Source organism: Homo sapiens, chromosome 17 (assembly GCF_000001405.40).
Source record: "Homo sapiens chromosome 17, GRCh38.p14 Primary Assembly".
Taxonomy (NCBI): domain Eukaryota; kingdom Metazoa; phylum Chordata; class Mammalia; order Primates; family Hominidae; genus Homo; species Homo sapiens.
In genome coordinates, this window is record NC_000017.11 from 1977032 (window position 1) to 1998032 (window position 21001).

Here is a 21001-nt window from a genome sequence, read left to right on the forward strand (position 1 = left end):
TAATCACATTTTGTTTCTTTGTATTTATTTTTACAGTTAGTTTCTGTTTATGGCAGGTGATAGATACTCTGCCTCTCCACTTAAAGATGCCGTATCCAGTTTCCTTTTAAAATACATTTATCTAAGTGAAAATGGGTCAATCTACGGAAGAAAACAGAAGTGCAAAAATAGTGCAGGTGTGCACAGACGGGCGAGACGCTGGGAAGGTGCGAGGCAGAGACTAGAGTCTGGGGAACACCCAGGCAATAGAAAGGCAGAGTCAGGCCCGAGAGCGCCCCGCACCCACCCCACGGCCACCCCAAGGTCGTTCCACCCCAAGGTCAGTCCAAGGCCAGCAACGGCGGTGGTGACCCTGACGACCTTGGAGCCTGCCCTTCCCCACCTTCGGGGTTCTCCCTGGATCCACCACCTCGTCTCAGGCGGAGGTCCCCATCCCCCTGAGGATGACTTTCCCCAAACAAGAGCGGGGTCGAGAGCCGCCCAGTGCCGCCCCCCACCCCGCCCGCCGGCCTGGGGTGTCTGGGACCCAGGAACCACCCGCGGCTGGGAGACCTGGGGCGGCCTGGCCAGAGACCGCGGGGCCTGGGGCTGGGGGAGGGGAGCGGTAAGTGGGGGCGGGAGGAGGTCCCTTTGCAGAGGGAAACCAATGTCATCCGTCTCCAACTTCTGAGGAGAGACCCGGAGCAGCCAGCAGATTAAAAACCCCATCCCGGCCCTCACCGAGGTGTTACAACTCTGTCCCAGTTGCCTGGCAACCGCGCAGGTGTGTGATAGGGCGAGCGGCGCTCCCGGGAGCCAACCAGCGGCCGCGGGCCGCCCGGGTGGGAGCCGGGGTCGGGGGCGCATCCTGCATCCTGCACCCCGCATCCCGCACCTGCATCGGAGCCCCGCGTCCCGCACCCCGCACCCTGCACCCTGGATCCTGCATCCTGCACCCCGCACCCCTCATCCCGCATCTTGCACCCCGGATCCCGCACCCCGCATCCTGCACCCCGCATCTCTCACTCCGCATCCGGCACCCCGCAGCTGCACGCACCGCAACCCTCCCGCGGCCCCGCCTCCTGCACTCTCGGGGAGGGAGGAACCGCCATTGCCTGTGGGGGTCAAGGTTGGGGCGGCTGCCAGGCCCTGCTGGGCTGCATTTAACCCCAGGGTGCTCCTGCCGCCTCTGCTGTCTCCAGGCGTCGCATCACCGGCCTTGAAATCAGTGGCCAAGAGCCCCGACCCGTGCAAGCGGCCTCCAGGGTCCCCACCCCACTGGGATCCAAACCCAGCACTTCAGGGGAACCCAAGAATGGGGACGGGAGGCACCTCCCTCTCCAGGACCTGGGCTCTGCTTTGGGCCACACATACACCTTCTCCTGTCCCCAGAGGACGGGCTCGTGGAGCAGAAGCCTTTAGAGGAGAGGCTTGGCCGACCGTCCGCAACAGCCATCCAGGCGGAAGCGCCCAGGTGGGCTCTGCAGCCGGCCTCCCAGCAACAGCAGCCAAGAATAGTGGCCAACAGCTCTTGCTTGGAATTAGGCTGCGTTTGGATCCCAGCCGGTGACTGTGTGACCTTTAGCCAGTCTTGCAACCTCTCAGTTTGCTCATCCGGAAAATGGGGGGGGTGGAGGGTGGGCTGCTGTGCGGATTCAGTGAGGTAGTGCGCACGGAGCATGGAGCGTGGTGCTTAGCAAATAGCCCTCCATTCAGCTCAGAGAAAGAAATGGTTCCTTTGGGAACTGGAAGCTGTTGCCATTAGGCACAAGTCCCAGAGTTGCTGCAGAGAATCCCAACACAGTGCTCCAAGCTCCCCACCACACCCCACTTCCAGTAACCTGTGCAGGGAACCTCTCAGAGGTAGGGCCCAGAGAAGGGTGGAGGGCCACCTGGCTTCCCCACGTGGTGGCTATGCCCAGATAGCAGAAGGTGTGGCCCCCTCATCTGCTGCCTCTTAGCACCATTTCCATCAATCCTAAAGAAACACTGAGGCCAACGCCTGTAATCCCAGCACTTTGGGACGCCTAGGCGAGTGCATCACTTGGGGTCAGGAGTTCAAGACCAGCCTGGCCAACACGGTGAAACACCATCTCTACTAAAAATGCAAAAATTAGCTGAGCGTGGTGGCACGCACCTGTAATCCCAGTTATTCAGGAGGCTGAGGCAGGAGAATTGCTTGAACCTGGAAAGCAAAGGTTGCAGTGAGCCAAGATAGCGCCACTGCACTCCAGCCTGGGCGACAGAGCCAGACTTTGCTTCAAAAAAACCAAAATAAAAAACAAAAAACCCCATCTCTACAAAAAAATACAAAAAATTACCCAGGCATGGTGGCACACGCCTGTGGTCCCAGCTACTCAGGAGGCTGAGGTGGGAGGATTGTTTGAGTTCAGGAGGTCAAGGCTGCAATGAGCTATGCGTGCGCCACTGCACTCCAGCCTGGGTGACACAGCAAGACCCTGTCTAAAAAAAAGAAAAAAAAAGACAAAGAAGGAAAGAAAAGAAATGCTGAGTGGGGGGGTGTGGGTTGGGAGTACCACTCAAGGCTTTGCCTAACTGCCCAACTGACTCACCCTGTCTTGGCCCTAGCTTTCCTCTGTCCCTCTAAGTAGCATTCCCCATGGGAGTCTTCACCAGCCTATACTAAGATCTCTGCCTTCCTGAAGCAATCACTGCGCACCTGCTATTCAGCAGGGCCAGAGACAGACCAGGACAGAAAAGGGGAAAAAACAGGCCAGCCAAGTCCAGCCCTTTGCCCAGTAGGGTGGCCCTTCTCTTTGGAGAGCACCTCCCCACCCCTTCCCTCCTCCTCCCCCCTTGACTGCCGCTTACCGCTAGGCAGGCCAAGCGTGAAAGTGCTCAGACCCGGAATTGCGTGGAGAAGGAAATCTCTGTTCTTCAGGCAAACCCCATCCAGCCTTTTGGGATTCTCCTGAGAAGCCATGCTGAGCCCCAGGAGCTGAAGGCCCAGGCCCTTTCCCACACACCCTGGCCTGGGGGTGTCTTAAAATCCCAGCACTCCTAATCCACTTGGCTCAGATATATTTTTTCTTTTCTTTTCTTTTTTGTTTGAGACAGGGCCTCACTCCGTCGCCCAGCCTGGAGTGCAGTGCCACAATCACGGCTCACCAAAGCCTTGACCTCCCAGGCTCAGGTGATCCTCCCACCTCAGCCTCCCAAGTAGCTGGGACTACAAGCTCGTGCCACCACGCTCAGCTAATTTTTTTTTTTTTTTTTTTTAGTAGAGACAGGACCTCACTATGTTGCCCAGCCTGGTTTGGAACTCCTGGGCTCAAGTGATCTGCCTGCCTCGGCCTCCCAAACCGCTAAGATTACAGGCATCAGCCCCCATGCCTGGCCTGATATGTTTTCTTAAAAAGACAAATTCCAATTCCATAGGATCCCAGGCAGCTTTTGACACTAATGTTTCCATGGGGCTTTTTAAAAGCTTCGGCTATTCGGTGGAGAGCAAACATGTTCACATGCTAACAGTGGTGCTTGGCTCTGCCCTGGGTATTTGCCTCCCTCCCACTTCTTTATAGCGTTCTGTACTTTTCATACTTTCCACAGATGACATATATTACTTTTATAGTAAAAATAAATAAACAAACACAAGAGATTAATTCATGGGCCCGCTCAGCAACCTATTTAAATCCTTATCAAAGTGGAGCATTTGGGAGGCTGAGGCGGGCGGATCACCTGAGGTCAGGAGTTCAAGACCAGCCTGGCCAACATGGAGAAACCCCGTCTCTACTAAAAATACACAAAAACAGCCGAGTGTGGTGGTGTAGCCTGTAATCCCAGCTACTCAGGAGGCTGAGGCAGGAGAATCACTTGAACCCAGGAGGTGGCAGTGCGGTGTGCGGAGATCACACCACTGCACTTCAGTCTGGGCCACAGAGTGAGATTCTATCTCAAAAAAAAAAAAAAAAAAAAGAAGTGGAGCAGAGTTTCCCAGGGGGCCAAAACTGGCCCCTGTCCCTGGCTGCTTCCTGGAGCCACACTCATCAGGCAGGAGGCACTGATGGGGTAAAGTGCTCCACAGGAGCCCCTTGTGACCCACAGGGAGTCACAGTGCAAGAGGCCAGCAGTTTCCTGGGAGCCTCGTGCCTAGGACATTGGCAGCACTTTGGGAGGCTGAGGAGGGAGGATCACTTGAGCCCAGTTCAAGACCAGCCTGGACAACATAAGGAGACTCCGTCCCTACAAAAAAATTTAAAATTATCTGGGTATAGTAGTGCACACCTGTAGTCTCAGCTACCTGGGAGGCTGAGGAGGGAGGATCACTTGAGCTCTGGGGGTCAAGGCTGCAGTGAGCCGTGATCGTGCTACTGCAACTCCAACCTGGGTGACAGAGTGATACCTTGTCTCCAAAAACAACAACAACAAAAACCTAGAAATGAAGCTGACTCCATCTTGGTATTTTTTTCTTTGCATAACTCTGCTTTCCAGAGACTTTAGGGAAAGGGGACTGCTGGGCCTTCCCTCCCTTTTGCCCTGCGGCTGCCTCGTGTGCAGATTGGCTGTGCTGAGGTCTTCCCTCCCTCATGCCCTGTGGCTGCCTCGTGTGCAGATAGGCTGACCTGGTCCACCCTGAGCAGCCTCACACGAGTCACTGCCTCCTTCCAGCTGAGCCTGCTCCAGCCTGAGCTGTGGCTGACGTGCTGGTACACACTGCCCTGGGAGCTGTGTGCCTCAGCCTGGACTGCTGTTCTCCCAGGAAGCTCTAGAACCCACAGTGCAGTGTCTGGGACACAGCTTGTACCCAACAAGCACAGTCATGCATCACTTAATGACAGGGTGTGTTCTGAGAAATGTATCATCAGACCATTTCACTGTGCAAACATCATAGAGTATACTTACAGAAATCTAGATGCTAGAGCCTACCGCACACCTAGGCTATATGGGATAGCCCACTGCTCCTAGGCTACAAACCTGCACAGCACGTGCCTGTGCTGAACACGGCAGGCAACTGTAACACAAGAGTGAGTATTTATGTATTGAAACTGGCCGGCACGGTGGCTCACGCCTGTAATCCCAGCACTTTGGGAGGCCGAGGCGGGTGGATCACCTGAGGTCAGGAGTTCCAGACCAGCATGGCCAGCATGGTGAAAACCCATCTCTGCTAAAAACTACAAAAATTAGCTGGGCGTGGTGGAGAGTGCCTGTAATCCCAGCTATTCAGGAGGATGAGGCAGGAGAATCGCTTAAACCCAGGAGGCGGAGGTTGCAGTGAGCTGAGATCACGCCACTCCACTCCAGCCTGGTGAACAGAATAGGACTTTGTCTCAAAAAGAAAAGAGAAGAGAAGAGAAGAGGAAGCCGGGCGAGGTGCCTCGCGCCTGTAATCCCAGCACTTTGGGAGACCGAGGCGGGCGGACCACGAGGTCAGGAGTTCGAGACCATCCTGGCTAACACGGTGAAACCTCATCTCTACTATAAATACAAAAAAAAATTAGCCAGGCATGGTGGCGGGCGCCTGTAGTCCCAGCTACTCGGGGGGCCAAGGCAGGAGAATGGCATGAACCAGGGAGCGGAGGTTGCAGTGAGCCGAGATCGCGCCACTGCACTCCAGCCTGGGGGTCAGAGCGAGACTCCGTCTCAAAAGAAAAGAAAAGAAAAGAAAAGAAAAGAAAAGAAACTCTGGGAAGGGGCAGTTCCACAAACACCGGGCCCTCGACGCCGTGCAGGAAGCCCTCCCCTCCTGCATGGAGGTGGACCGCCAGGCTCCCCGACAGCTCCAGGTTGCTGGGTAACCCTGAAAATGGAGTGAGGAAAGTTCGACAACTTGCTGACCCAGAGGAAGGAGGAATGGGGTGGCTGAGCAGGAGGTAAAGCGAACCTCAGGGAGGGGCAGCGGCTGACAGTCACTGTGTGCCACAGGCTGGGCTCCCTTTGCTGTGAGCTCCTTGAAGGGCTGGGTTTTCCCCAGTTCTCTCTCAGGCACCCCGCAGGGCAGCAACCCGCAAACTGGGCAAGTGCCTCTGGGGGGCCATTTGGTGGTGGAGCTATGCTGAGACCTCACATTCTTCTTCTTCTTCTTTTTTTTTTTTTTCCTGAGACAGAGTCTCGCCCTGTCACCCAGGCTGGAGTGCAATGGCGCCATCTCGGCTCACTGCAACCTCCACCTCCCAGGTTCAAGCGATTACAGTAGCTGGGATTACAGCTGGGATTACAGGCACCCGCCACCACACCCGGCTAATTTTTGTGTTTTTAGTAGAGACAGGGTTTCACCATGTTGTACAGTCTGATCTTGAACCCCTGGCCTCAAGTGATCCACCTGCCTCAGCCTCCCAAAGGGCTGGGATGACAGGCGTGAGCCGCCACACCTGGCCGAGACCTCACATTCTTCTGAGGATACTTGTCCAGTAATGACACCAGCGGGGGCCAATTGACAGTGATACTAACAAAACATCCGCAAGCCCTTCCCAAGACGCTGCACCTAATTCGGGAACGAGGTTCACTGCAGCCTTCGCCTCCTAGGCTCAAGCGATCCTCCCACCTCAGCCACCCGAGCAGCTGAGACCATAGTCACACAGCACCACGCCTGGCTAACAGCTTCTATTTTTTCTGTAGAGACGGGGTCTTACCAGGTGTGTCCAGGATGGTCTCAAACTCCTGAGCTCAAGCGATCCTCCCACCTCAGTTACCCAAGCAGCTAAGACCATAGGCAGGCACCACCATGCCTGGCTAACATTTTCTATTTTTTTTGTAGAGACGGGGTCTTACCCAGTGTGTCCAGGATGGTCTCGAACTCCTGGGCTCAAGCAATCCTCCCACCTCAGCCTCCCAAAGTGCTGGGATTACAGGTGTGAGCCACGGCGCCGGGTCCTGAACCTAACTCCGTACTCATGACTCGTTTTCATAACGGGGTCCACAAAACCTTTAGGCTCCACCCAATCCGGATCGGAACCCTGCTCCCTCCCGGCTGGGACATGTAAGCTGGTTTCCCCTGGTAGAACCAGGCTGGAATAAGGGCTGGCCGGAGCCCTGAGGCCGAGGAAACCCCCAGATCATGTCTCAAGGCCAGCTGTATACACCAAATGCAGGTGGGCAGGGCGGGCAGCACCTTCCCTTCCCCCATTTAGTCACAATATCACAGAGTCCAAAGAAATTCTTGATCATTTTGAACGGGGGCTCCTTTCGAGAAGCCGATAAAGCCCATGGATATTCTCCCCCCTAAAATGCACCTACACCTATTGTTCTAGGGGCCTGTGGATGCCTGAGGCCCACCAGGTGCCCTGTAGGAGCCTGAGAAGCCGAGTCAAGGCCGCTGCTCTGCTCTGGAAGCAGCTTGGCGTGAAGGTGACACAGGTGACAGTGAGGAGGCTGAGTTCTATCCCAGCCGCTGCTGCTTCTTTTCATTCTTTCCAGACAGGGTCTCGCTCTGTCAAACAGGCTGGAGTGCAGTGGCCCAGTCATAGCTCACTGAAGCCTCAAACTCCTGGACTCAAGCGACCCTCCCTCCTTAGCCTCCCAAAGTGCTGGGATTCCAGCCAGGAGCCCATGGTGCCTGGCCCCATCCCAGCTTCTAAGTCACTTCCCCAAAACTCTACTGAGCTTTGTATGAGATGTTCTCAAACTTCCTCCCAACTTGAGAATTCTGATCCTTTCTGCGACTTTCATCTTCTGCAGGAATGAGCCCTGCCCCGAGGCCTTCAAGAAAAACAGGAGAGCCGGGCGCCGTGGCTCACGCCTGTAATCCCAGCACTTCGGGAGACCGAGGCCAGTGGATCATCTGAGGTCAGGAGCTCGAAGCCAGCCTGGCCAACATGGTGAAACCCCGTCTCTACTAAAAATACAAAAATTAGCCGGGCGTGGTAGCACACACCTGTAATCCCAGCTACTCAGGAGGCTGAGGCAGGTGAATCGCTTGAACCCAGAAGGCGGAGGTTGCAGTGAGCCGAGATCCTGCCACTGCATTCCAGCCTGGGCAACAAGAGCGAAACTCCATCTCAAAAAAAAAAAGAAAAAAGAAAAATAGGAGAAATGGAACTCACTTAGGCTGAACACCCCGTTATATGCGACAAGCATTTTTCACGCACTGCTCATTTCATTCTCTCAATGACCCTTTCAGGCAAATATACTTTGTTCCTTTTTAACTGATCATGAAACTCTCCTGTCAGGTGAAGGAACTTCCAGGAAGGTGTTTGGCAAGTGGTGGGGATTGGATTTGAACCTGGGCCTGCTGGACTCCACAAGCCTGTGCTCCTGGCACAAAGGTGTTCACTCCCTGAGTGCCTGCACCAATGCCCTAGGTCCCCTCCTTCTTCTCACCTCCTCTGTCAACTCTGCCCGGAAATGTGGGCCTTCCCTCTACCTTTGGAACCTCTTGGGATCAAGCCACCTGCCTCCTACTCTCTGTCCCCAGGGCTCGCAAGCCGCCTGGCAGATGGGAAACGAAGATCCCATTCCCATCCATCTGCATCAAATCCTACTGAGTCCACCCCCTCCTGGGTCCACTGCTTCACTGGGGGACAATTAATAGCTATGGTTGATTACTGGACACTTATGCACGGAGGAACATAAACCGGGTTTACATTCCCGGCTTTAAAAGCCCAGATTAATCGCCCTGGGCTGGTTCTGTCACACATAGGGATATATTTTCTTCTTGGAATTTACAAGTAGTTCCATCTGAGAAATAAACAACCAGAGATAAAAATTACATTGTCACAGTACAGGTGTGACAGATGTAGGAAGCCAGCCGTCTGGTGGCTGAGGAGGTGCTCTGCCAATGGAATCCACCAAATGAGCCCTGGAGGAGCCCCAGGTAAGGGGGATAGGATGCTGATGGGATCTCAGCCACAGGGGAAGTGTGGAATCTCTGCAATTTGCATTTCATCACTGTAAATCACAGGGTTCCCAGGCCGGCCTCCAGAGCCAGGGTGAGAGGTTGATTGGCAGGAGACCTCCTCAAGCTGCCCCGCCTCTCAGCTGCAGGCCTCAGGAACCCCAGCCTTCAGGGACAGTAGGATGGCCCCAGCTAAGCAACAAGCAGGAAGACACTTGCCTATAACCTTGACAGCTCTGTCTCCACCAAGACACGAACCACCTCTCTTGTCTCTACTGCTACTAGCAGAGAGGACTAGGCCCGTTGGTGGAAGAGAGCCATCTCCAGAAGGTCACAGGAAAACCAGGCGGGATCTGGGGTCCACAGAGTCATAATAACAATTAGCATCTCTTGAGTGCTTACCAAGTGCTCGGCACCCTGTGAAGGACTCGGTGAGGATTATTGTGTATTAATCCTCATGACCACCCGATGAAGTAGGTATTATTATTAACCTCACTTTACAGATGACAAAACTGAGGTGCACAGAGGTTAAGTGACTTGCCCAAGGTCCCTGGAGTGAATTGAATGGTGGCCCCCCAAAAGGATATGTCCACATCCATATCCCTGGAGCCTGTGACCTTATTTGGAAAAAGGCGTCTTTGTCGATGTAATTAAGTTAAAGATCTTGAGATAAGATCATCCTGGATTACCCCAAAGGGCCATAAATGCAATGACAAATTTCCTTATAAGAGACAGAAGAGGAGGAGACAGAGGGAAGCCACGTGAAGTCGGAGGCAGAGACTGGAGCGATGCAGCCACAGAGAACCCCCACGGCCCCCAGAAGCTGGAAGAGCCTTCGTGGGGTGCACAGTCCTGCCAACACCTTGATTTCAGATTTCTGGCCTCCAGAACTGTGAGAGAATAAATTTCTCTGGTTTTAAACTAACGAGTTTGTTGTAATAGCCATTAAAAAAAAAAAATTCATAGCCAGGAGTCACAGAGCCAGGAGTCAGGTCCGGCAGGCTGACCCCAGACTCAGGCCCTGCCCCCCGACCCAGGCCCAGGCTCTGCCCACCACATGACACAATGCTCACAGGCTTCCAGGCCTGGGTTCCAGGCTTGGCTCTGCTGCAACTGAGCCGTGCGACCTTGAGGACATCTCTAAGCCGCAGCTTCCTTATCTGCAAAATGAGGGGGCTGGACAAGATAAGTGGGTGCCTTCGGGGCTGCCGCTGCGACAAGGGGACCAAGTGGGGTTCTGAGTAACGCAGGCAGGTGCGAAGGAGAAAGAAAAAAGGTTCAGCAAACCACCTGTAGGCAGCCATTTATTACAGGGAGTTTGGGCCACCCATGATATGTTCCCCTCCTTTTAGCCACAGAACCCTGCTTTTCCTTTGGGAGAGCCGGTCCCCTCCCCCAGCTCTCCACCCATGCGCCATGATAGAGCCAGCTCAGCCCCCACCTTCCGGAGTGGGCTCGTACCCAATCAACACCTGCTCCCAGGCCTCCATGACTGGTTCAGGGTTGAATTTGAGCCAATGTTATCAGGCCCACAACTTTCGTTCAAGCCTGTGGGGGAAGAGAAGTTCTCCTTTTCCGGGAGGAGGGACAGATGGAAACCTGGAGCTGCTGGATCCTTCTGAGAATGACGCCAACTCCGTGAAGCCATGCCAAGAAGCCAAGAAGGAGAAACCACGTCCGGAGACACCATGGGCTCAAGATGCACCTGAGGACGAGGCTGTCTGTTTCATGAGCCTGTAAGATTCCCGCTCTGTCCCAGTGGTTTTGTTTCCGTCTTTTGTAACCAGAGTCTCACCCTTCAGGTCCCCAGGTCTGGCCATTTCCAAGGGTCCTTCTAGCTCTGAAGCAGTGTGATTTCACAGCCAACAAAATCACAGCACCTGTTTGCCTGCACTGCAGATGTGTGTGAGTTCAGGGACACACACACACACACACACACACACACACACACACACACACACACACACGGACTTTCCACACATTATCCCACAATATCTCTGACCAGAAATAATTAAGCCCTCATGCTGGGTGCGGTAGCTCACGCCTGTAATCCCAGCACTTTGGGAGGCCAAGGCAGGTGGATCACCTGAGGTCAGGATTTCAAGACCATCATGGCCAACATGGTGAAACACCATCTCTATTAAAAATACAAAAATTAGCCGGGTGTGGTGGCACACACCTGTAATCCCAGCTACTCGGGAGGCTGAGGCAGGAGAATCACTTGAACCCAGGAAGTGGAGGTTGCAGTGAGCTGAGATCACACCATTGCACTCCAGCCTAGGAAACAAGAGCGAAACTCCATCTCAGAAAAAAAGGAAAAAAAGGAAAAGAAGGAGGCCGGGCATGGTGGCTCACGCCTGTAATCCCAGCACTTTGGGAGGCTGAGGTGGGCAGATCACGAGGTCAAGAGATCGAGACCATCCTGGCCAATGGTGAAAACCCGTCTCTACTAAAAATACAAAAATTAGCTGGGTGTGCCTATAGTCCCAGCTACTCAGGAGGCTGAGGCAGGAGAATTGCTTGAACCTGGGAGGTGGAGACTGCAGTGAGCCAAGATGGCGTCACTGCATTCCAGCCTGGTGACAGAGCAAGACTCCGCCTCAAAAAAAAAAAAAAAAAAGAAAAGAAAAGAAGGAGCCACGAATATGTTCAGTATTTTGTATTTACTGTACTCCAGCCTGGGGGACAGAGAGAGACTCTGTCTCAAAAAAAAAAAAAAAAGAAAAGAAAAGAAAAAGAAAGAATTAAGTCCTCAATGATGGAACATCCCTCCCCTCTCCAGAGGTGTCTCTCTCCACCGCATCCCTAGCACCCAGGAGTGTGCCTGAACCCCCTGATGTCTTAAATGCTTCCTGAAGGAATGGAGAAATGAATAAATGGATGCTGGATGCTGTAGGCACTTATAACTGGGGGACCTGACCTCGTCTGGAAGGCTCAGGACCACTTCCCAAGGAAGCATCCTTTGAGCTGGGCTCTAGAAGAAGGGTAGGAATTGTCCAGGTAAGCAGGCTGAGGCAGGGGCAACATTACAGGCAGCACAGCCCAGGTACATGTGAGGAACAGAAAGAAAATAGTCAGCATGAGCGGACACTGGTGTGAGATGAGGCTGGAGGAGAGGCAGGGGCCAGATCTCATGAGGTCAGTTAAAAAGCCCTGTTAAAAACAGGGGCCCCTATTTCAAGAGCCGTGGGAAGCCACTAAAGGATTGTAAGCAATCAAAGTGATATGATCACATCGTGTTCCCTAACATCCCCTAATTGCGGCAAGGAGGCTGGAGACCAGAGAGTAATCTAGACCACCAATCAGGAGGCTACTGCAGTAGTCCAAGCAAGAGATGTAGGACCCTGGTTTAAGACGGTTAGCGGCGGCGGGGGAAACGGAGAGGAGGGGATGGAGGTAAAGGATGTGCAGGAGATGGACTCAACTGATGGAAGATGACGAGGGAGAGGATGACTCAGTGGGTGCTCAGCACACAGCAAGCCAGATCCTGCACCGCCCTAGATTTGGACACTTCTATTAATGTGGCCAAAAATTATAGAGGCTTTTTTTTTTTTGGAAGGCACATCAAACTTTCTGACTCACTGTGCTTGCAGGCAAATAAATGCTTCCTCATCATAACCCTTAATGGGACGAGAAGGCTCTACTGCGAGCACGCTGGAGGGGCCCTGGAGCCAGGGCCAGCTGCTGGATCACAGGCTTGAGAAGGGTGCTGGAGCATCACACTGGCTGAGAACAGAAAGCCGGGGAGTGGGGGTGTCATATGTTTTTTATTTATTTATTTTTATTTTTTGAGACAAAGTGTTGCTCTGTCGCCCAGGCTGGAGTGTAATGGCATGATCTCGGTTCACTGCCACCTCCACCTCCCGGTTTCAAGCAATTCTTCTGCCTCAGCCTCCCGAGTAGCCAGGATTACAGGTGCATGCCACCATGCTTAGTTAATTTTTGTATTTTTAGTAGAGAGGGGGTTTCACCATTTTGGACAGGCTGGTCTCGAACTCCTGACCTCATGATCCACCAGCCTCAGCTTCCCAAAGTTCTGGGATTACAGGTGTGAGCCACTGTGCCTGGCCTGAGTGTCATTTCAAGAAGGAGAAAGTATGCTTAAGCCTAGGAGTTCGAGACCAGCCCGGGCAAGACAGCAAGACCCTGTCTCTACAAAAAAAAACAAAACAAAAAACAAAGGTCACGATAGTTTGTACAACAATGTGAGTGTGCTTAATGCCACAGAACTGTACACTTAAAATGATTACAATGGTAAATTTTGTTGTGTACATTAAAAAACTTTTTTTTAATTATCAAGGATGCATAGAATATTTGGGAAGCTGAGGCTGGAGGATCACCTGAGGCCAAGAGGTTGAGACCAGCCTGATCAACACGGTGAAACCCCATCTCTGCTAAAAATAAAAAATTAGCCGGGCATGGTGGTGGGCACCTGTAATCCCAGCTACTTGCGAGGCTGAGAGGCTGAGGCAGGAGAATCGCTTGAATCTGGGAGGTGGAGGTTGCAGTGAGCCGAGATCGAGCCACTGCACTCAGCCTGGGTGACAAAGCAAGACTCCATCTCAAAAATAAACAAATAAAATAAAATAATGAAAAATAAAAAGTTCTTGTAGGCCGGGCATGGTGGCTCACATCTGTAGTCCCAGAACCTTGGGAGGCTAAGGCAAGGCAGGAGGATGGCTTGAGCTCAGGAGTTCAAGACCAGCCTGGGCAACAGAGGAAGACCTCATCTCTACAAAACATAAAAAATATTAGCCAGATGTGTGGCATGCACTTTTGGTCCCAGCTACTCGGGAGGCTGAGGTGGGAGGATCGCTTGAGCCCAGGAGGTTGAGGCTGCAGTGAGCCATGATGACACCACTGCACTCCAGCCTGGGCAATAGAGCAAGACCCTGTTTCAAAAAACAAAACTTACTGTAATACAATCAAGGCTAACAGAAGAAAGGAAGGAAGGGATTATCATGGAACTTTTTGAGTCCACTACAGATGCGCTTCTGAGTCAGAATCTTTTACAAAGCTGGGTTTTCCGTCTATCACACTGTTGTTTCGCTCTACCTCTTAAAGTCTCTCTGAGCTGTGTCTCCAAGAGAGGAGACGGTGTGCACACAGCCCTGCACCCACCCTTTCCTGCATGTGTAGTGCTCCCCCTGCATAGCCACAATGGAGAAAATGAGAGCATCCAGGGAACGAGTCCCTCTCTAGGCGCAGAGAGCACCAACCCATGTGCAATTTGGATGCCTGACCTTGGCCAATTAGTACCTTGCTCAGTGTAACCAACCGAGTCGCAGATTCCATTCGATTCAGCAAACATTTATCGAGCATCTCAGTGCCAGCTGATTTCTGTCTGTTCTATAAGTGCAATGGAGCTCAGCCTTCTCTCCAGATTAGAGTTATTTGTATTTCAAGGCAAAAAGATAGGTTTTAAGTACCTGTAAGAGGCGGTAATGGATGCCCCGGGGAAGGGTAGGCATAGGCTTGTAGGGAGGGAGAGGAGCTGAGAAAAGGCCTGAGAATCAGGGTGGTAGGACCGGGCTGGAAACGGAAGAAAAGGTGGACTGAGAAGCCAGATAAAGCCTGTGAGTTTGTTTTTTTTTGAACCTCCCCCAACTTTCTTTTTAATCGAAAAGATAATACATGCACATAGTAAAAAAAAAAAAAAAAACAAAAAAAAACTTCAAAGAACACAAAAGGGTATACAATAAAAAGTAAGTCTCCTTTCCTCTCCCAGACCTCCAGGCCCCAGTTTCTTTCTTCAGAGGTATCCTACTGTTAACAGTTTCTTTTGTGTATTTCCAGAAAATTTCTATCACATACAAGCATGTCTTTTTAGAACCCAAATGGTAGCGCCATGTATTACCACTGCTTTTTCACTTTGCAAGGTAGCTTGGCATCCACCCCATCTCAGTGCACACAGAGTCACCCATTCCTCGCAGCGGAAAATCCCATCGCACGGGGGTGTTGTCATCTACCCAGTGGATCCCCTCCTGATGGACAAGTAGGTTGTTTCCAGTTTCTGAACTTGCATGCTCCCACATGCGCATTTCTGCCCACAGATACAAGGGTAGCAGTAGATCAATTCCTGGAAGTGGAATTGCTCTATTTACGGAGCTGTAACTGACTCTGACTGAGAAGTCCAGGGAGAGCTATGTCTCCAGAAGAGGAGAGACGTGTACTGAGCCCCACGCCCACCCTCCTTCCTTGTACACACAGTCCCCCAGATCCTTCATGACATGGGCCACGTAGGAGCAAGGGTTGGACTGCATGCAGAAAAAGAGTCCTCGTGCCGGGCGCAGTGGCTCACGCCTGTAATCCCAGCACTTTGGGAGGCCGCGGCGGGTGGATGACGAGGTCAGGAGAACGAGACCATCCTGGCTAACACGGTGAAACCCCATCTCTACTAAAAATACAAAAAATTAGCCGGGCGTGGTGGCGGGCGCCTGCAGTCCCAGCTACTTGGGGGGGCAGGAGAATGGCGTGAACCCGGGAGGCAGAGGTTGCAGTGAGCCAAGATCGCGCCACTGCACTCCAGCCTGGGTGACAGAGCGAGACTCTGTCTCAAAAAAAAAAAAAAAAAAAGAAAAACGAAAAAAGAAAAAGAGTCCTTCTCTGGGTTCAGAGAGAACCAACTTGTGTGGCTGGGGACTCAGTTGGGGACAAAGAGCCGCCCCCTCCCCCAGTTGGGGCTAAGAGCATGTAGAGGGATTGAAGCTTAAGGATACAGTGCCTGGCACGCAGTGACTGCTCCATCAGCATGACCTATTGTGGGTATTATTATTATCGCTGTTGTGATCCAGAGGGAGCCTGTCTCGCGGGTGGCTGGGAAAGCTCCCTGTGCTGTTCTGTCCAAGAGTCCAGTTGATTCAAAGGCACTGAAGTGGGAGCCTGCTCAGCTCTTGGAGCTGGATGAGAGCTGAGACAGGCAGTTCCCACTTAGCACAGCTTGGCATCTTCAACTCCCGGGCCTTTGCCAGTACCTAATAAACACCATACTCCATGCCTTGCCATCGTCGCCCACGTGTGTCCTACGCCTGCTGACGATGGCTGCCACAGCACACAGTCAGCATTTCACCCTGACACATGACTCTCTTATGACCTGCTTTCTCTTTGAATGGATGCGGCCTGAATGATGTCACTGTGACACAATGAAACTACAGGTGAGGGCCGGGCGCGGTGGCTCCCACCTGTCCTCCCAGCACTTTGGGAGGCCGAGGCAGGTGGATCGCCTGAGGTCAGCAGTTCGAGACCAGCCTGGACAACATAGTGAAACCCCATCTCTACTAAAAAAGAATACAAAAAATTAGCCGGGCATGGTGGTGAGCACCTGTGATCCCAGCTATTCGGGAGGCTGAGGCAGGAGAATCGCTTGAACCTGGGAGGCGGAGGTTGCAGAGAGCTGAGATCGCGCCACCGCACTCCAGCCTGGGTGACAGAGCGAAACTCTGTCTCAAAAAAAGAAAAGAAAAGAAAAGAAACTACAGGTGTGTATTACTGGGTGGGGAATGTCAGAACTGACACACCCAAAAAAGAATTAGAAGAATTAGCCTTGACTCTGGGGCCAGTCAGACCTGGGTTCAAATCCTGGCCCTGACACTTCTAAGCATGTGTCCTGGGGAAGTCATTTAACTTCCTTGAGCCTTAGTTTCATCACCTGTGAAATGGGCTAAGCACTTGTTCTAACAGGATTACTGTGAGGAGTAAGCAAAATAATGGATTATTTATGAGTTTTTTGTTTTGTTTTGTTTTTACAGACCTGCTTTATTCTTAAACTTATTTCGGCAGTTGAGATAATATATGTAAAGTGTCTGGCACATAGTAACGGTTCAATAAAGCATCCGTTCCCTTCCCCTACCCTTCCATCAGAGTGGTCATCTTTGAACCCAAGTCCCCCATTGCAAAGCACTGCCATTACTTGAAACAATTCTGGAACTTCCTCGTGAGAAAACTGGCTCAGTTGGTTAGGGTGCCATCGCGTTTTGAATCTCAAAAAAAAAAAAAATTCCGATAACAAAAACAAATCACATTCTGCAAATTGCTCAGCCCCTGTATTCACAACACACAGCTTCAAATTACTTTTGGCCTTTTCCAAAAAATCAAACCCACCCTCAAAGGTCAAGGATTCACCACTGCCAAGGCTATTAAGAGGAAAATGCTGTGAAATCTGAAGCAATTTCCCAAGAAGAACTCATCAAGTTTTAAGCAAGCACAGCAGAACTGGTAGAAAAACAAAGCCCCCCAGTCCCCACCCCCGGCTACGCTGAACCACCCCGTTCCTCAGGACACGTGCACTCGAACCTCGCCGCTCCGGGTCCCAATCTGTGGATTGCTTTCCCCAGTCTCTGGAGTAAGATCTCATTTTGCTGCCTCTGAGAAGAGTGTGCCCAGGTGGAATTCACAGGCGCTGGGAGCTTGAGGGGGAAGTGATGGGCAAGAGCTGGGGAGGACAAAGCGGCTTTCACTCCATCCCTTATGGGGATAGTGAGGAGGGAGTCCAGGGACAGGGGGCCAGCAACTAGATGCCTTGGGGGCACAGCCATGTCTCCCCTGTGCTGAGCCCACCGTGTTACAGAGGACCTACCAGCTCTCCCAGCCAGGGACACACTTGGTCCCTCCTCGGGCAAAAGCAGGGCGAGTACTGCCCAAGTCCTGAATATCCTCGGCCTCATCCCCTGATATTCTCAATTCTCAGGTCAGAAAATGCCAAGGGGCCTGCTCCATCCCCTTCCCACCAGCTTGCGAGCTTATCAAACCCACAATTTGGGAGAAGGTCCTGCCACTACCTAACTTCACAGAAGGCAGAGGACAATGAGTCTGAGTGAAGATGCTGGAGTCAGCCAGGCCTGGATTCCAATCCCAGCTCCGCCACTGACAGGCCCGGTGACCTCGGTCAACACAAGCAGGCTCTGCTGCCTCCCACCTCCAAGCCTCAGTTTCCTTCTCTAGGAAAGGGGATAATACACGCTTGCGTTGGGGGAAAGGTGGTTAAAAAGGAGGCTTATAAAGATTAAATGACGGCCAGGTGCAGTGGCTCATACCTGCATATAATCCCAGTACTTTGGGAAGCCGAGGTGGGAGGACTGCTTGAAGCCAGGAGTTCAAGACCAACCTGGCCAACATAGTAAGACCCCATCTCTAAAAAAAAAAAAAAATCATGAAATGAGATGACAGAGGCTGTCAACAGATGGCCAGAAATACTCCCAAGGCCCTGTGTCTGGAGCATGTGGTTCCCCTGTGCTTACAGGGGCCCTGGGACCATGCTCAGAGCCCACAGTGATGGAATGAGCCTCTCAGGCCCCAGCAGCCCACTGAGCTCTCACTGCAAAAGGTAGGCATGGGGCCGAGTGCAGGGGCTCACACCTGTAATCCCAGCACTTTGGGAGGCCAAGGGAGGCCAAGGCGGGTGGATCACCTGAGGACAGGAGTTTGAGACCGGCCTGGCCAACATGGTGAAACACCGTCTCTACTAAAAATACAAAAATTAGCCGGGCATGGTGGTAGGTGCCTGTAACCCCAGCTACTCGGGAAGCTGAGGCAGGAAAATCACTTAAACTCGGGAGGCGGAGGTTGCAGTGAGCCGAGATTGCGCCATTGCACTACAGCCTGGGTGACAAGAGTGAAACTCTGTCTCAAAAAAAAAAAAAAAAAAAAGATAGGCATGGCAGGGGAACCTCTACAGCCAGGAGGGCCTAAGCTTGGCTCTGGAAAGACCTTTGTCCTTTGCTCACTCTCCTCGTCCTTACAGGCTCATACCCCAGATGAGGGAGCTGACTCTCACTGTCGCCGGAAGTCCCACCTGCCAGAAGGCGTAGAACAACATGGTTCTGCCTGGCACTGCGTGCTGAAGAAATACCCCTGGATCATTATCATCCCCCTCAGATGGCTCGCTGCAAGATCTACCATCAAAGGTAAACAAGTCCTTATCTTCTTGCTAATTGGTTCGAATCGATTGACTTTATAAGTGGGTCTAATGTGCAACTGGTGAGAGATGGCCTATGTGCCGAGCAACCCATGCACTTAACTAGCTGTCGCTCAAGCACGGAACAAGGCATATTAACCCAAATTTCTCAGACCGCCTTCTCCTGAGAGGCTGCAGAGCCAGCGTCTCCCCTGTTGGGCTCATATTTGCTGGGTCAACAGGCCCGCTTAGAGGCACCTGGATGCTGTTAGGCGGGTGGCGATAACACTGGTGTAGGTTCCTTGGCGAGGTGAGGGCGTGCTGAGCCTGTGACAAGCATCCCTGGGCCCTGCCCTGCCCTGGCTCAGGCTGCCTGGCAGGAGAAGGGACTGAATCCCAAGTGTTGGCAGGGGAGGAGCAGGAAGGCAATTTTCCCGGTACTCTCATCATCTGCCTTCCATGTGCCTTTTGATGTGTTTCCTTACTCGGCTTTCTCCCAGGAAAGCTTGAATCTGTCTCATTGAACCCATCTCTGAGGCCAGGTCACTGCTGCTTTCCAGGTGAGAGCTGATGTTCAGTCTTTTATCACTGCCAGTGTCTGAAATAGTCCAGAAACTGGTAAAGACAACAGACACCAGGAGATGACCTAAAAATCTTGGGCAGAGTACGGGTGAACAGCAGCTCTCCCCACCTCCCCTCCCCCCCGGCCCAAGGTCCCCCTGCAGAGGGCTGGCTGCTGCCCTCCCCCTGAGAAGCGGCCAGCTACCCCCAACTTTTTTCTGCTCTATTAATAAACCTCAGCTGAGATCCTTGTGACCCCCCTCTTCCGGATGTGATCCTCGCTGCCTTGCCTTATCAGCCTTGCTTTTCACAAGCTCTTAAATTCATGAGAAAAGGGAAAAAGTGAAATCAGATAGAAATGCAGGTCTGTTTGCTGTTTTCTCCAATGAAATGGTTCTGGGTAAACAGCAGACGCCTTTGATGAAATCCCAGCAGGCTTAAACAATAAAGCTGGTTACAAACTCAATCTGGCGGAGATATCAGATCTGAAATTGTTTCAAAAAACATGTCAACATTTTCTAATGCTCCTAAAAAAAACCTTCCTGGGCTGCCCACTGTGGAGTCTGGGTCTCGGAGACAGGACGGGGGCCACCCCAGCCTCTGCCCAGGCCAGCTGGGACTCTGTGCACAAAGAACCCAGGAGCAGGCTATTCCTGGTTGCTGGGGGCCCTGCCAGCTGCAGATGTGTAAATGGCCACTTCAGTCATAACCCAAGCCAGGCAGGGGACCAGCCACCCTTGTGTACACCACTGCACCATCCCCCGCAACCAACCTGGCCTCCCCGCCTTCCCCCTTAACTATCTTCCATTCTCCACACTGCAGCCAGCAGAGGCTTTTAAAAATGTAAATCAGATCATGTCATTCCTTTGCTTAAAACCTCTAATGCATTCACACTGCACTTAGAACAAAATCCAAACTCCTCCGTGGCCCACGAGACCTTCAGGGATCTGCCGCTCACTACCTGCTTCTTCACTCACGACAATCAACCTCACTGGCCTTCCTCGCAAATTATTTCCTGCCTCTGGGCCTTTGCACTTCCTACAGACTTTGTCTGGGATGCTTTTTCCCCAACCCATCGTCCTCAGCCAGCTCCAGGACCAGCCCAGCTGATGTGGCTCCTCTCCCGGCCAAGTACAATATCACATTAACAGTTTTATTCTCTACACTGAGTCCAACCACGATCTGAAATCATCGCATGTGTTTACTTATTAACTGTCGCTCTCTGGAATGCGATCCCTCTGCAGGTCTGAACTTGTCTGTCTGGTAGTCGACAAGTATGACTGGCCCATAGTAGGTGCTCAATCATAAACCACTGCATGAATGAGCAGTGAGGATGTCACCGTCCCCTCTAGGTATTCCCCAGGCAATGCCCAGGAAATCGGGAGCACCACCAGCACACTAAGGTATCCTACTCCAAGGTACAGGAACACCTCGCCAGCCTCCCTCTAGGGCACCCCTAGCTGCCCCTGCCCCACCCAGGCCTCATCCAAGCCCCTGCTGGCTTTAAACCACTAGGACTCGGAGGTCAGGCCTGAGCCGGGGCTGGGAGGTCCCCGCCCCCTTCACAGCCCTCCTACTCGGGCCTGCATCCCCGCAGACCCCCGACCCCAGCTGACGCCCTCTGAGAAGGGAGGTGACAAGGGCAGGCCGGCAGGGGCCGGCGCGCTCCTCGCAGGCCTTCTGGGGAAAGCGTGGGCGCAGGTGCCTTCGGTTGGGCTCCTGGGTCTGGGGCCTGGGGGCGGGCAGCGATGTCCCCCTCAGGGTGCCGGGCGCCCCAC

General features: G+C 52.6%; 1 protein-coding gene across 1 annotated transcript in view, besides 6 other annotated features; it reads right to left on the minus strand.

The window, feature by feature from the left end:
- RTN4RL1 (reticulon 4 receptor like 1) overlaps positions 1 to 21001 on the minus strand; it is a 90658-nt gene that overhangs the window by 42355 nt on the left and 27302 nt on the right. The gene's annotated exons all lie outside the window — the stretch shown is intronic.
- Positions 5204 to 6045: an enhancer, noted in NCBI's record as "H3K4me1 hESC enhancer chr17:1885529-1886370 (GRCh37/hg19 assembly coordinates)". NCBI's record gives its function as "activates a minimal SCP1, AML or CMV promoter by ChIP-STARR-seq in naive H9 embryonic stem cells {active_cell/tissue: H9 hESC(naive)}" and the evidence as "EXISTENCE:reporter gene assay evidence [ECO:0000049][PMID:30033119]".
- Positions 6046 to 6887: an enhancer, noted in NCBI's record as "H3K4me1 hESC enhancer chr17:1886371-1887212 (GRCh37/hg19 assembly coordinates)". NCBI's record gives its function as "activates a minimal SCP1, AML or CMV promoter by ChIP-STARR-seq in naive and primed H9 embryonic stem cells {active_cell/tissue: H9 hESC(naive and primed)}" and the evidence as "EXISTENCE:reporter gene assay evidence [ECO:0000049][PMID:30033119]".
- Positions 9408 to 9911: an enhancer, noted in NCBI's record as "H3K4me1 hESC enhancer chr17:1889733-1890236 (GRCh37/hg19 assembly coordinates)". NCBI's record gives its function as "activates a minimal SCP1, AML or CMV promoter by ChIP-STARR-seq in naive H9 embryonic stem cells {active_cell/tissue: H9 hESC(naive)}" and the evidence as "EXISTENCE:reporter gene assay evidence [ECO:0000049][PMID:30033119]".
- Positions 9912 to 10413: an enhancer, noted in NCBI's record as "H3K4me1 hESC enhancer chr17:1890237-1890738 (GRCh37/hg19 assembly coordinates)". NCBI's record gives its function as "activates a minimal SCP1, AML or CMV promoter by ChIP-STARR-seq in naive H9 embryonic stem cells {active_cell/tissue: H9 hESC(naive)}" and the evidence as "EXISTENCE:reporter gene assay evidence [ECO:0000049][PMID:30033119]".
- Positions 14656 to 15517: an enhancer, noted in NCBI's record as "H3K4me1 hESC enhancer chr17:1894981-1895842 (GRCh37/hg19 assembly coordinates)". NCBI's record gives its function as "activates a minimal SCP1, AML or CMV promoter by ChIP-STARR-seq in naive H9 embryonic stem cells {active_cell/tissue: H9 hESC(naive)}" and the evidence as "EXISTENCE:reporter gene assay evidence [ECO:0000049][PMID:30033119]".
- Positions 15518 to 16378: an enhancer, noted in NCBI's record as "H3K4me1 hESC enhancer chr17:1895843-1896703 (GRCh37/hg19 assembly coordinates)". NCBI's record gives its function as "activates a minimal SCP1, AML or CMV promoter by ChIP-STARR-seq in naive H9 embryonic stem cells {active_cell/tissue: H9 hESC(naive)}" and the evidence as "EXISTENCE:reporter gene assay evidence [ECO:0000049][PMID:30033119]".